The 15,427-nt window shown below is 46.7% G+C and overlaps 1 protein-coding gene and 1 long non-coding RNA gene across 2 annotated transcripts in view, besides 2 other annotated features; one reads left to right on the top strand and one right to left on the bottom strand.

The window, feature by feature from the left end:
* Positions 3,918-4,367: a silencer, noted in NCBI's record as "silent region_11923". NCBI's record gives its function as "represses an Ori minimal core promoter by ATAC-STARR-seq in GM12878 lymphoblastoid cells {active_cell/tissue: GM12878}" and the evidence as "EXISTENCE:reporter gene assay evidence [ECO:0000049][PMID:35858748]".
* Positions 4,404-14,334, top strand: NIFK (nucleolar protein interacting with the FHA domain of MKI67). The gene is made up of 7 exons (NM_032390.5): positions 4,404-4,533; positions 5,529-5,666; positions 9,075-9,183; positions 10,175-10,386; positions 12,743-12,802; positions 12,923-12,991; positions 13,367-14,334. Exons 1-7 carry the CDS (start codon positions 4,429-4,431, stop codon positions 13,553-13,555), a joined length of 882 nt encoding a protein of 293 aa, NP_115766.3. The 5' UTR covers positions 4,404-4,428; the 3' UTR covers positions 13,556-14,334.
* Positions 4,468-4,517: an enhancer, noted in NCBI's record as "active region_16471". NCBI's record gives its function as "activates an Ori minimal core promoter by ATAC-STARR-seq in GM12878 lymphoblastoid cells {active_cell/tissue: GM12878}" and the evidence as "EXISTENCE:reporter gene assay evidence [ECO:0000049][PMID:35858748]".
* NIFK-AS1 (NIFK antisense RNA 1) overlaps positions 12,719-15,427 on the bottom strand; it is a 78,907-nt gene continuing 76,198 nt past the window's right edge. Inside the window, exon 4 of the long non-coding RNA NR_037857.1 lies at positions 12,719-13,476. This is a non-coding gene — a long non-coding RNA (NIFK antisense RNA 1). The remainder of the gene's footprint in view (positions 13,477-15,427) is intronic.

Genomic DNA, 15,427 nt, shown 5'->3' with positions numbered 1-15,427 from the left:
CAGAGAGCCCTCTCCCTCCTGGTCTCTCATGTGCCCTGCCTCACCCTGCTGCCTGCCCAGCCCTGCCACCGGCCCTCCTCAATTTCCGTGCTTGGCCCCCAATAGGTGCTCCAGGCCACAGGTGATAAGGGTGGGGTGGCATGGGGGGTGGAGGAGGCCTGGGTGATTCGTGCGGGAAGAGAAGCAGGTGACACACACTGAGGACTCAATAGTCTGCTCGGGGCTGTATGGAAATGCCCAGAGGCATCTTGATTGTTACAATGAGCAGGGGATGAGGGTACAAAAGTAGTGTGCACAGGACGGTCCAGCTCAGTGAAGAACTGTCCCACCCAAAGTGTCAGTAGCTCCCCATCTACATGCAAAATCAGAAGGAAGAATTAAAAACAAACAAACAAACAAAAACATCAAAAGGAAGAAAGGGAAGGAGGAAGGAAGGGAGAGAGGGAGGGAAGGAGGAGAGGGGGCCTGGCATCCATCTGTGAGCATCCCGGAGGTCCTCCAGGACCTGCCCTAACACGCAACGAGAACCCGACATACCAAGACAGGCCCAGGACCGGTGCTGTCCTCAGACCACGCAGCCTGTACAGCAACTGTGTTTTTCCCTGTGGCTGCCAGGATAACTTACCACAAACGGAAAGGCTTAAAACAACAGAAACATATTCTCTCACAATTGTGGATGCTGGTGGCAGCATCACTCCAACTTCTGCTTTGCCCATCACATGGCATTCTGCATATGTGCACGCCCAAAATGCTCTCTTCTCATAGGACACTAGTCACGGTTTACAGCTAACGCAAACCCAACAGGACCTCATCTTTGTTTTGTTTTGTTTTGAGACAGAATCTTGCTCTGTCGCCAGGCTGGAGTACAATGGCACAATCTCGGCTCACTGCAACCTCTGCCTCCCAGGTTCAAGCGGTTCTCCCACCGCAGCCTCCCGAGTAGCTGGGATTACAGGCACATGCCACCACGCTTGGCTAATTTTTGTATTTTTAGTAGAGACAGAGTTTCACCATGTTGGCCAGGCTAGTCTCGAACTCTTGACCTCAAGTGATCTGCCCGCCTCAGCCTCCAAAAGTGCTGGGATTACAGGCGTGAGCCACCGTGCCCGGTCATGACCTCATCTTAATGTGATTCCATCCTCAAAGACTCTCCAAGTACAGTCTCATTCACATGTACCCATGTACCAGCGATTAGGACTTGAACAAATCTTTTGAGGGTGACAGAATACATTCTGTCCCAGAATTCTGACCCAGTAATCAATGCCACAAATCTCTATTCCTGCTTCGGAGTGTGGTCTATGGAGTATCGGCCTCTTCTGGAAGCTTGTTAGGAACACAGAACCTGGGCCACCTCAGACCTACTGAATCAGCACCTGCCTGGTGCAGGCAATCCACATGCTCATTCAAGTTTGAGAAGCCTTGGATCACTACCCCCCTGGGGGGATGTAAGGCAAGACCAGGAACTCATAGAGGTGGAGGTGACTGGGAATACCTGAAAAAGGATTTCCATAGAGAAGTGCTTGCCGTCATTCCTTCCTGTATCCTCATCTCCCCTAAGTAGCTATGAGACATGTCAAGATTCCACCTTCAGGAAGGAGGGGAGTGTTCACACACACACACACACACACACACGCACACACACACGAGGACACGGATGGTACCTTCAGGGAACCAGTGAACTTATCTACATCCTCTGGAATTTGGGGGATACAGGGATTGTACCTGGTTTATACACCAACATCTGTGATGCCAGCCAGGAGGCCTGCCTGGCAGCAATCCCATGGCAGTGACAGACAAAACATGTGGCCCTTCTTAAAGGATCAGGATGATAAAGTCCACTTGGAAAGGCCCTTCCAGGAGGAGCCTCTGGGCACAGAGCTGACCTCGGCTGGCAGGCAGGTAGAGTCATGAGCAGCCAGGTGAGGGACACCTCAAAAGTGTGCTTGGAGACAAGGTGCCAGCAACCTGGCATTTGCAGCCTCTAAAACTCCCTGGCCACGTGGCACCTGCCAGCAAGGAGCCCCTTTCTGCTTTCTCCTCCCTCTCTTCCCTGTCCTAATCCTGGAAAGCCCAAAAACAGAAACTGGGGTGTACAGAGAAAGTGGAGCCAAGAATAAAGACGATGTGGACTGTGCTCCCCTTTGGGGATTTCTCTGCCAGAGACACTGAGCTGGGGAGAGGAGACATTTGATATTAGATTTTGAACGCGTGGAACATGCTTCTATTGACTGACATCTGAGGAGCAATCACAAGTGCGGAGCTCTCCCCAAGATTTCATCCTGGGGGGAGCAAGAACAAGCCCATGGAAAGGGGCAGCCCTGAAAAAGAATCAAATTGCTCTTGCTCGCTCACTCCCGAAAATCCAGCCTACCCATGAAAACACAATGGGAAGACAGCGCTTAACTGGAAGAACTGACTTTGCTACAGGGTCAGGGATGCCCCCTTGGGGGTGACGGTGGCGCTGAGCCGGAGGGTGCAGGGGTGAAGGAGGCGAAGACTGTGAGCGTGGGAGGCACGTCTGTCAGAGGAAGTGGGCTGGCCTCGCTTGGCACTCCCTCCCAGGGCCTCCACCTCAGGCCCACAGGCCACTCTTCGGGCACACACACCCTGGGCCGCCTTCACGGCTTCCAGAACACGGCCGCAGCTATCCCCTGACACCAGCTGTGCTTGATCTGTCGCTCTCGCCTCACCTCCCTGCTTCCTCGGCAATCCACTCCCCACCCTTCCTCTCCACTCAGTTACTCACTAGTATAATAGTATTTGAAAGGTACAAACAGGCCGGGTGCGGTGGCTCACGCCTGTAATCCCAGCACTTTGGGAGGCCGAGGCGGGTAGATCACTTAAGGTCAGGGGTTCTCGACCAGCCTGGCCAAAATGGCGAAACCTCGTTTCTACTAAAAATACAAAAATTAGCCGGGAGTAGTGGTGTGCACCTGTAGTCCCAGCTAGTCGGGAGGCTGAGGAAGGAGAATTGCTTGAACCCAGGAGGCGGAGGTTGCAGTGAGTGAGCCAAAATCGCGCCACTGCACTCCAGCCTGGACGACAGAACGAGACTCCGTCTCAAAAAAAAAAAAAGAAAAGAAAGATGCAAACAGCCACAGCCTCGCTTTAAACCCGCCCATCCCCTCGCATTTACAAAACCCCAGTTTCATACTTTGACACACAGTCATGGGGCTCCAGCCTGCCGCCTCGCAGCTCTTCCCTCCTGTGCTGGGCTCCAACCCCACTGCCGCGTCCTTCTTTCTAGACCTAGGAACACTGTGCAGGCCTGTCCGGTCCAGCGGACGGCAGGCGCTCGGTTCTCCACACCCCGCTCTTTAGCCTTCAGGCCTCGGTGCTAACGCCACCTCCTAAGGGGGACCCTCCGGCGCCACCCAGTGTGCCTCTCCCCCACAAGCCTCTTTGGTCTCTTAAAGCAGCCATGCTGCCCTCAGGCTGTAAGTTCTCCAAGGGCCGCGGACGGACGGGGCCACACAGGAGAGCTCACACACAAGTGAGTGAAAGAATAACCAAATTAGGGCCGGGCGCGGTGGCTCACGCCTGTTATCCCAGTACTTTGGGAGGCTGAGGCGGGTGGATCACCTGAGGTCAGGAGTTCGAGACCAGCCTGGCCAACATGGTGAAACCCCGTTTCTACTAAACATACAAATTAAGCTGGGAGTGGTAACGTACAAATTAAGCTGGGAGTGGTGGCGGGCGCCTGTAATCAGCTACTCGGAAGACTGAGGCAGGAGAATCGCTTGAACCCGGGAGGCGGAAGTTGGAAGTTGCAGTGAGCCGAGATTGCGCCATTGCACTCCAGCCTGGGCAACCAAAGCGAAACTCTGTCTCAAAAAAAAATAATAATAATAATAAGCAAATTGAGGAATGAGAGCAGCATCTCAAGGACACAGGTACTGTTTTGGAATTTATTTTAGACCTTTTTTGAAAGTAGGCGTGAACGTAATTGTTTCAGGCACTCTTAAGCGAAGCCAGCCGGCGCCCCGACAGCCGAGGGTGCGGGAGCTCCCCACGGCCCAGCCCCAGCCCCAGACCCCGCTGCCGCGCCTCGGCACGCCCCTGCGCCCCGCCTCCGCGCCTCGGCGCTACTCACGCCCCGCCCTCCGCTCCTCGTCACGCCCCATGTCGCGCCTCCGCGCGACTCACGCCTCTCCCAGTCTCTCGGCACGACCTCGTGCCCCGCCCTCGCCCCTGGCGCAATTTATGCCCCGCCCCGCGCCTCGCCACACCCCGTGCCCCGCCCCCGCTTCTCCGGGCAACTCCTGCTCCAACCCCGCGCCCGACTCATGGCCCTCCCCGCCCCTCGCCACGCCTCGCCTCGCCTTAGCGCTTCGCCCCGCCCCTGTCCTGCCTCTACTTCCGCCTCGGGGGAGCTGGGAGCCCGACGTTTCCGGGAGCGCCGCGTGGTTAGCGTCGGCGGCTTTTGGCATGGCGACTTTTTCTGGCCCGGCTGGGCCAATCCTGTCGCTTAATCCGCAGGAAGATGTCGAGTTTCAAAAGGAGGTGGCGCAGGTTCGCAAGCGCATAACCCAGGTGAGCAGGCACCCTGGCCCAGGCTGCGAGCGGGGGCGATGGACCGGGTCTAGAGGGTATCTGGGGTTGCACGGTTTCCGGCCCGGGCGCCCCTTGCCTTCGTGCTCGCCTTCATTACCTCCAGGGTCTCCCAAGTGGATTCGACCGAATCAGGGACCGACCTCTTAAGCTTGCAGGCCACGGTTTCCGAGACGAAAGGGTTTACGCTGTTCGGTAAATGATGGAGGGGTTTGGCCGCTGAGGCCCTGGAGCCTTCATGTGGAGGGTAACGGGGAAGTATTGGGGTGACAGAAGCAGTAGAAAGAACCAGCTGGAGGGAATAGGCTCCTATACCACAGGTTATCTCCGGGTTAGAGCTGTCACGCTTCCGCGTTTCCCCCAAAAATGGGAGCCCCAGACTTAACACATTCGGGAAGTTTGTATGCCGGGTTGGTGATCTGGGAGTTATTAAAATAGAGTATTTGCCAGGTTCCACTTGCTGACTAGGGCCCCTGACATCGCTTATACTTTCTGTGGTTTTTAGCATAAAATACACAGGAAAACTTAGAAGTTCCTGTTACAGAGGTAAGGCTATGATGACTGAGACGTTGAAAGGCTAATCTGTACCGTGAGAGTTAACAAGCGTATCGAAAATTTTTCGATGAAGTGCGAGTAAACAGTAATATGCATACCAAATTGAAGCCTACGTTTATGTAGAGTTCTCTGGGCAGAAGATCTAAAATGGCTTGTTCAAAGATGTCCTTGCTTATCCGTTGATTGACATAGTTATTGAGCTCTAATATTATACTGGGTGCTGGGATGCCAGGCTGGAAAGATAGTTGACTACTGCTTGACCATGGCCTTTGTGGGGAGAGAAACACTAAACAGCCAGTTCTTTAATTACTACTGTGGTAAGTGGAAATGCAGAATAGGTTCTTGGGCCGAGGGCTAGGGGTTTTGTTACAATGTGATTTTCTTATTTATATATTTAATTTACCTGGTCTTTACGTCTTTAGCGAAAAAAACAAGAACAACTTACTCCTGGAGTAGTCTATGTGCGCCACCTACCTAACCTACTTGACGAAACCCAGATCTTTTCATATTTCTCCCAGTTTGGCACTGTGACACGGTTCAGGCTGTCCAGAAGTAAAAGGGTAAGATTTTTGCAGTTGGATTTAATGTTTTGTTTTTCAAATGTGTATTATCCTTGACATTAAAGAGCACGTTCACGCATACATTATTGCTTATCAGATTTCATTCCAAAAAGGAGAGTGGAGGAGGTTTAGAATCTGAAACAGCTACAGGAGCAAAATCAGTATTATTGTAAAAGTTTGTTTTTTACATTTCTCCAAATCCTTACATTAAATTGACAGTCCTGGTAAATGAGCTTTAGTATGAGGCCCAGGTTTATACATTTTCTTGTGTTAGCCTTTGGTACAAGCATCCTTATAATAGCAAAGGTTTATATAGTGAATAGTTAAAGGTGAGGACTCTGGAGTTGGACTGCTGAGGTTTGGGGTCAGGCTCTACACCTTACTAGTTAGAGTGATATGACCTTACCATGTTTCAGTGTTGTGATCTGTTAAATATAAGTAAAACTTCCTGGGAGTATTTAGTCAAAGGTTAAATATAAAGTCTTTAGAGGATTGCTTGGTACACAATAAACACTATATAAGTATAATTACTATTTGTGTCATACCTGCCTTCTAATGAGAAAACGCTTTACATAGCTTGTTTCAATAGTGGAGGAGTGACCCACTTTCTTTTCTTTCCCCGCACATAAACTTTAATTGGTTGTAGCCATAGACACCTATTTGATTTAGCATGTGGGGGATAGGGTGCACATCCATCATCTGTTAGTTGTCGTAAAGATAGATTGTAGGTAGAATTGAGGTCCCTTTTGTACCCTTCCCAGTGCTCTTCAACTTCTTTAATTAGGGAATTAAATTCACAAATTCAGTTTTCTTTTTTTTGAGACTGAGGCTTGCACTGTCGCCCGGGCTGGAGTGCAGTGGTACAATCTCAGCTCACTGCAACCTCCGCTTCCCGGGTTCAAGCAATTCTCCTTGCGTCACCTTCCCAAGTAGCTGGGATTACAGGCGCCTGCCACCATGCCTGGCTAATTTTTTGTGTGTTTTACTAGAGACGGGGTTTCACTATGTTGGCCAGGCTGGTCTCGAACTCCTGACCTTGTGATCCTCCCGCCTCGGCCTCCCAAAGTGCTGAGATTACAGGCGTGAGCCAGTGCGCCCGGCCACAAATTCAGTTTTCATTGCTATATATAAGTTTTTACTATATATATATGTACTAGAATACATATGTGTACATATATAAATGTACATATGGTATTATTTTAAAATTATATTACTCTATCATTCTTCAGCTGAATTTTTGTATTCAATAATCTGAGCTTTATCCATGTAACTCTATTGCCTTTGTTATCATCATTGCTCATTACTTAGGTTACTAAAGTTTATCCACCCTCCTATTGAACATTAGGTTTTGTTTTGGGGGGCGATCTCGGCTCACTGCAACCTCTGCCTCCCAGATTCAAGTGATTCTCTTTCCTCACCCTCCTGAGTGGCTGGGATTACAGGTACCGGCCACTGCACCTGGCTAATTTTTGTATTTTTAGTAGAAACAGTGTTTCTACTAAACACTGTTTTGGCCAGGCTGGTCTCAAACTCCTGACCTCAGATGATCCGCCCACCTCGGCCTCCCAAGGTACTGGGATTACAAGCATGAGCGAGCCACTGTGCCCAGCCCGAACATTAGGTTTTTTAATATTTTTAACTCTTTAGATTAAGCTGCTAGGAACAATCTTTGTACAGGTATAGGCAGAATTTTCTAGAAGAGTATTTTGCAGACTTTGGCTCACAATAAGAGGTAAGTTTTTACCATCACAAAGAAGATGAGGGTTTTAAAAAAAGTTTTACAGCACAAACCAGCACACATACATATGCATGTAAGCATAACTGAAATAAAAGCCAAATGAGACAATATTTAAACTTGTTTTGTGTGATGCGCTGATTTTCTATTTCATTCTATTCATTTTTTTTTTGTTTTGTTTTGGTTTTGTTTTGTTTGCGACGGAGTCTCACTCTGTCGCCCGGGCTGGAGTGCAGTGGCACAGTTCCTCAGCTGACTGCGATGTCCGCCTCCCGGATTCAAGTGATTCTCCTGCCCCAGCCTCCCGAGTAGCTGGGATTATAGGTGCCTGCCACCATGCCTGGCTAATTTTTTTTTTTTTTTTAAATGGAGTCTCACTCTGTTGCCCAGGCTGGAGTGCAGTGGCACAGTCTTGGCTCACTGCACCCTCAGCCTCTCGGATTCAAGTGATTCTCCTGCCTCAGCCTCCTGAATAGCTGGGATTATAGGCGTGCACCACCACACCCAGCTAATTTTTGTATTTTTAGTAGAGATGGGGTTTCACCATATTGGTCAGGATGATTTTGAGCTCCCAATCTCAGGTGATCCACCTGCCTCGGCCTCCCAAAGTGTGGGGATTACAGGTGTGAGCCACTGTGCCCGGCCTAATTTTTGTATTTTTAGTAGAGACACGGTTTCACCATTTTGGCCAGGCTGGTCTCGAACTCCTGACCTCAGGTGATCCACCCACCTCGGCCTCCTGGAGTGCTGGGATTACAGGCATGAGCCACCCCTCTTGGCCTAGTTTTTCTTTTTTGAGATGGAGTCTTATTCTGTTGCCCAGGCTGGAGTGCAGTGGCGCGATCTCAGCTCACTACAACCTCTGCCTCTCAGGTTCAAGTGATTCTTCTGGCTCAGCCTCCTGAGTAGCTGGGATTACAGGTACATGTCACCATGCCCAGCTAATTTTTTGTATTTTTAGTAGAGATGGGGTTTCACCATGTTGGCCAGGCTGGTCTCAAACCCCTGACCTTGAGATCCACCCTCCTTGGCCTCCCAAAGTGAATATTTTATATTTTTAGTAGAGATGGGGTTTCACCGTGTTGACCAGGCTGGTCTTGAACTCCTCACCTCAGATGATCCACCCTCGGCCTCCCAAAGTGCTGAGATTGCAGGGGTGAGCCACCGCGCCTGGCCTTCCCCTCTCTTTTGAGTGTTGGGATTATAAATGGATTTTGAGGGATTTAAATTTTTCCCAGAATCCACCTGTTGAAGATAATTAAGCTGAGACTCAGTTGTGGAAGTGTCCAAGTTGCTTGTTACTGACACAACTGGTGCTGGAAATGAGCCTCCTGATTCCCACTGTTAAGCCATGTGACTTTTAAGTTGAAGACTTTTTTAATATCACGGAGTGTTGTTACTGAATAAATTCCAGCCATAGGAATTGTGTATTTATCATATGTAACCAAAATCCCAAGAATACCAGAAAATCAGCTGTGTGTTCAGACTCGTGCATCTTTTCTTTTTCCCATAACAGTCCCCGGAATATGTGAATTGAAGTTAGAATTAAGCGTGTCGTACGTAATATTTGATAAGGGGCTAATATACATTATTTAAAATAATGGCATTTTAGGAATTTGATGACGCATTCAAATTTAATTGTTCTACTTTTTGTGGCGGTTTCTCTGTTGCAGACTGGAAATAGCAAAGGCTATGCATTTGTGGAGTTTGAGTCTGAGGATGTTGCCAAAATAGTTGCTGAAACAATGAACAACTACCTGTTTGGTGAAAGACTCTTGGAGTGTAAGTGCTCCTGTCTTACCGCAGGGTTGCCTGGGTGCCTGCTGTTGGTGGGTGACTGTGGTGGGAAGGGCGGCTTGCCTAGCTGCTTGGACATGCCACTTCATCTCTGGGATGAGTCTTACAGAATGGTGCAAGGATTTCAGTGTATGTTGCAGGCAGATTCTAATTGGAATTTTAAAATCTAGCCTGAGAGCTGTTTTTACCCTAAATGGAACTGGACAAGTTACCTTGGGGACACATGGGAGGAGCAGCTAACCCATCCTTATGGGCTGTGAAAGGCTTCTCTAAGGAAGTATAGTTGACATTGAAACCTGAAGACTAAACAGGAGTGAGCCAGGTGAAGGGGACAGGAGTGAAGACAGACCATTCCTGGCTGAGGGACAGTGAATGCCAAACCAATGATGCCTAACCATTCAGCTGTGAGAGAATGTGAGGAAAAGTAGCAAGAGATGAAGGAGCAAGAAGAGGCTTCAGGTCAGGTTACTGAAGGCCTTCTAAGTCAGCGAGTTCCGAATTTATCCTGAGGGCAGTGGGGATAGCATCAAAGGTCAGGAATCGCGTTGCAAAATCTGTCTAAATGGCAATGGCTGTAGCTCTTCCACACGAGAGAAGCCAGAGGGAGTGGAGGAGTGACGCACCAGATGAGTAATTTATCCTGCAGAAAGAAGCCAGTGAAGCCCCCTACCCTGCAGTCCATAGGGTGCAGAGAGCATCCCTGTCCAGATCCTGCTGCCCTTGGGAGGCAAAGCGAAGTTTCTGGCTTCCCTGTGCCCATGGTGGCATGTGGCCGTCTTAGGTACCCAAGTTCACAGCTGACAAGGCTGCCCAGGTCTTGTCTCTCTATTCACTTCGCATTGCTGTGAGAGAAGCTGGGATTACAGGTGTGAGCCACTGTACCCAGCCATATCATTTTGTTGTGTGAGGAATGGCACTGCGGAGATTCTAAAGTTAACATTAAAATACCTTTATGTTTTTTTCTTTTTGAAAATAGGTCATTTTATGCCACCTGAAAAAGTACATAAAGAACTCTTTAAAGACTGGAATATTCCATTTAAGCAGCCATCATATCCATCAGTGAAACGGTATAATCGGAATCGGACACTAACACAAAAGCTACGGATGGAGGAGCGATTTAAAAAGAAAGAAAGATTACTCAGGAAGAAATTAGCTAAAAAAGGAATTGACTATGATTTTCCTTCTTTGGTAAATATTCGTGAAATCTTTTTTGTGGTTTGTTGTGGGGAGGGGAGGGGGCAGCTTTGTACCTTGTAAAGTACCTAGCCTAGCACTTACCACAATCTTGACTCACTGCAACTTCCACATCCTGGGTTCAAGCAATTCTCCTGCCTCTAGCCTCCCAAGTAGTTGGGATTACAGGTGCACACCACCACGTCTGGCTAATTTTTGTATTTTTAGTAGAGACGGGGTTTCTCCACGTTGGCCAGGCTGGTCTCGAACTCCTGACCTCAGGTGATTCACCCACCTCAGCGTCCCAAAGTGTTGGAATAATAGGCATGAGCCACGTGCCCAGCCAGTTTTTTGACTAAACTTTTTTTTCTTTTTTGAGATGGAGTTTCACCCTTGTTGCCCAGGCTGGAGTGCGATGGTGTGATCTTGGCTCACCGCAACCTCCGCCTCCGGGGTTCAAGCGATTCTTCTGCCTCAGCCTCCCGAGTAGCTGGCATTACAGGCATGCGCCACCACCCCGGCTAATTTTGTATTTTTAGTAGAGACGGGGTTTCTCCTTGTTGGTCAGGCTGGTCTTGAACTCCTGACCTCAGGTGATCCGCCCGCCTCGGCCTCCCAAAGTGCTAGGATTACAGGCGTGAGCCACTGCACCCATCCTTTTTTGTTTTGTTTTGTTTTGTTTTGTTTTTTGAGACAGAGTCTTGCTGTGTTGCCCAGGCAGGCTGGAGTGCAGTGGCACAATCTCAGTTCATTGCAACCTCCACCTCCCAGGTTCAAGCAATTCTCCTGCCTCACCCTCATGAGTAGCTGAGATTACAGGTGCGTGCCACCATACCCGGCTAATTTTTTGTATTTTTAGTAGAAATGGGGTTTCACCATGTTGGTCAGTCTGGTCTCGAACTCTTGACCTCAGGTGATCCATCCACCTCAGCCTCCAAAAGTGCTGGGATTACAGGTGTGAGCCACCATGACTGGCCTGACTAAACTTTTGAAACATTCCATTGTAGGTTCTTCCTAAAACATTATGAGACCAGATTCTGTTATTTCTATTATACAGAAGAGGAAGCTTCTTTTAAGGAGATAATCTGATTTGTTTAACTTACATGTTCTGTTTTAAGTTACTGAAGTAAACCCACTATTTAACTAAAGACTGTAATACTCTTAGATTGCCATTTATTAGCCAGTTGAGGTAGTGTGTGCCTGTAGTCCTTGCTACTCAGGAGGCTGAGGCAACAGGATCTCCTGAGCCTAGGATTTCAAGTTTGCAGTGAACTGTGATTGTACCATTGCACTCCAGCCTCAGCAACAGAGCAAGACCGTATCGCTAAAAAAGAAAAAGATTGTCATTCAGAGGTGACACTGCCAGAATTAAGTCTTTGGTTTACTGTATGCTATAAGTAGATACCAAAACACTGACCCTTTCCTCCATCTGTCACAGTGAGGAGAGCTATGTCTTTTATTATAGATCAAGAATGAAGCTTATTATGGTATGGCTAGTATAGGTAAAGGTCTCATTCTTTTCTTTTTTTTTTTTTTTTTTGAGATGGAGTCTCCCTCTGTTGCCCAGGCTGGAGTGCAGTGGCACTATCTCAGCTCACTGCAACCTCCGCCTCCCAGGTTCAAGCGATTCTCCTGCCTCAGCCCCCACGAGTAGCTGGGACTACAGGCACACACCACCACACCCAGCTAATTTTTTGTATTTTTTTTAGTAGAGATAGGGTTTCATCACCATGTTAGCCAGGCTGGTCTCGAACTCCTGACCTCATGATCCACCCACCTTGGCCTCCCCAAGTGCTGGGATTGTAGGCGTGAGCCACTGCGCCCAGCCAATTTACTAGGTTTTTAACCTTATCCAGAAACTAGATGACCGTGTTACCCTCCTTTGCCTCAATTCTCGGTGGTTAATTTTTTGCCCAAATCCCAAATACTGTCTTTAATAGTATTAGAATATTTCGCCAAGGCCTTAGGCCCTGGTACTCTTGTGAACCATTTGGGAACTGAGACAGTGAAACTTGAAAAGAGGCATGTGAGCACTGCTTTTCCTGTACCCTGTTTGTGACTTAGGAGATGGGGGTGGCCTGCCTTTGCACATTCTTCCTGCTTCCACCCTCCTGAATTCAGGATTCTGTGAATCAGTGAGCTCCAGGTTTTGGCCTTCCCTTCAACCTCTGCAGCTCTGTCAATTCCTCTACTGGGTTTTTCCTAGTTTTGCCCTTTACTTGAGATAATTCACTGTATTTATGAGTTTTGATTTTTTAAAATGAAATGCTCTTGTCATTTAGGGAGGATTTACTGATAATATATATGAGGATCTAATGCTAAGTTTAGAAAGAAAAGATATGAGTGTCAATTTCTAACTTCTTTATTAAAGATTTTACAGAAAACGGAAAGTATTTCAAAAACTAATCGTCAGACGTCTACAAAAGGCCAGGTAAAATTTTTTTTATCATTTTACATGCAAGATATTAGAGAAGGATAAGTAGGAAAACATATTCAAGACTACTGTAGCTGATCAATATTCAAATTGATGTGTTTTAAAATTTATTTTAAGGTTTTACGTAAGAAGAAGAAAAAAGTTTCAGGTACTCTTGACACTCCTGAGAAGACTGTGGATAGCCAGGTAAAATGGTTTTCAATACTCCAGACACCAGATATTATAGAAATAATTTGAAGGAGGAGAAGCAGTTTCTGCTACTCTCATTTTAAGATTTCAAATTAAATATTGTGACATTTGGTAGATCTTTATTGTTGATTTAGCAATTTTCTGCCTAAAACCTTATAATGGAACATGCTATATTTGTTAATTGTGAATTTCTGTACCAAGTTTGATAAGCATCTAAGTTCTTTATTCTTTGCAATAGTATCACCAAAAGATGGTAACAGAGCTAAAATAATGGGGCACAACTTGTAAAAATAGAGGAGAGATGATATTTTTGGGTAAAGTCATAATCATGTTTTACATTTATGTATTATAATCTTTACTTGTTGAATCCAGGGCCCCACACCAGTTTGTACACCAACATTTTTGGAGAGGCGAAAATCTCAAGTGGCTGAACTGAATGATGATGATAAAGATGATGAAATAGTTTTCAAACAGCCCATATCCTGTGTAAAAGAAGAAATACAAGAGACTCAAACACCTACACATTCACGGAAAAAAAGACGAAGAAGCAGCAATCAGTGATTTTCAATGTATTATATTTCTTTTGAAAAATATAATATTTTTATGAGAGTGGACTTTGTATTTCACTAGGTACAATGGAATACAACCTTTGACAAGATTTTCAGAGGAAAAATACACTGTTTGGTCAAGTTAAGGAAAGCAGTGTGTAATTTTGGATTGCCTGCCCTTGGCTGAAATACAGGGGTGCATACCATCTTGCAGTGGCTTGGCTGACATTGCCTCTTTGTCCTGGCCTCTAGTTTTCTTTTGATATTTCATAGCTCTCCTTAGTTTACTCTGCCTGGATAGAAAGTTGACCACTAACTGCAGGTTTAAGTACTAAACTGCAGCCTTTTCTGTCGCCAGCAATTAAAGACCACCAATCTTGTTTGTCCATCTACATGGTTTGTCGGGGACATTTAACTCATGGAGGTGCTTTAGATTTCAACATCAGATGGTTGAAGCTGGAAGTTTAATTATATGTAGAGTGAGAAGGCAGTTCCAGTTTTAGCACAGATTTGTTTATGTGTTCAGATTTTAATAGAGATTCAAAAATGACTCATTTTTACCAATAATGTTAAATTAGTTTTGGTTGTGCTAGCATGAATTAATAACCACCATTTTATACCAGTATCATCAGTGAAGAATTGTATTTCAAGATTCAAACAATAACCAGCAATTAAACTTTTTTCTACAATGTATTTGTTTGCGAGTAGGACTTGGGAGTCATTGGGAAAAAAAAATAATAAATTTTCCCCTTCATTAACGAATTCAGACTCATTAAAAACATTGCCATCAGATGTAGTAGCTTGTGCCTGTAATCCCAGCACTTTGGGAGGCTGAGGCAGGAGGATCACTTAAGGCTAGGAGTTGGAGACCAGCCTGGGCAACATGATGAGAGCCTCTTTCTACAAAAAAATTTTAAAAATGAAGCCAGGCACGGTAGCTTGCTTCTGTAATCCCAGTATTTTGGGAGGCCGAGGCGGGTGGATCATGAGGTCAAGATATCAAGACCATCCTGGCCAACATGGTGAAACCCCATCTCTACTAAAAATACAAAAATTAAATGGGCGTGGTGGCAGGTACCTGTAGTCCCAGCTGCTTGGGAGGCTGAGGCAGGAGAATCGCGTGAACCCGGGAGGCGGAGGTTGCAGTGGGCCAAGATCACGCCACTGCACTCCAGCCTGGTGACAGAGGAGACTCTGTCTCAAAAAAAAAAAAAAAAATGAGGTGGGCATGGTGACACATGCCTATAGTCCCACCTACTTAGGATACTGAGGCAAAAGGATCACTGAACCTAGGAGTTTGAGGCTACAGTGACCTATGGTTGCACCATTGCACTCCAGCCAGAGCGACAAAGCAAGACCCTGTCTCTTAAAAAAAAAAAAGCTGGGTGTGGTGTCTCACGCCTGTAATCCCGGCCTGACCAACATGGAGAAACCCCGTCTCTACTAAAAATACAAAATTAGCCGGCCGTGGTGGCGCATGCCTATAATCCCAGCTACTCAGGAGGTGGAGGCAGGAGAATTAGTTGAACCCAGGAGGTGGAAGTTGCAGTGAGCCAAGATCGCACCATTGCACTCCAGGCTGGGCAACAAGAGCGAAACTCCGTCTCAAAAAACAAACCAAAAAAAATTCATTATCACTCTCTTAAAAAAGATTTTTTTTTAATTCATTGCCACTAAGCATTCTTTCATCTAGCATTTCTTAAGTCTTTAATACGATACAGGGCTAGGTGTTCTGATGCAAAATAGAGTTGGTTTTAAGTACATGCAAAAAGCAGATTAGATCTCTAGAATGGTTCCTGGCACATAGAAGATTTAGTATGTATTTGTTAAATAATGCCCTATTTGAACCATCTCTGAGCTTCGTGGATCTGGACATCTGGTTTCC

This window comes from Homo sapiens, chromosome 2 (assembly GCF_000001405.40).
Source record: "Homo sapiens chromosome 2, GRCh38.p14 Primary Assembly".
Lineage (NCBI taxonomy): Eukaryota > Metazoa > Chordata > Mammalia > Primates > Hominidae > Homo > Homo sapiens.
This window is presented reverse-complemented; position numbering and strand designations above follow the sequence as displayed.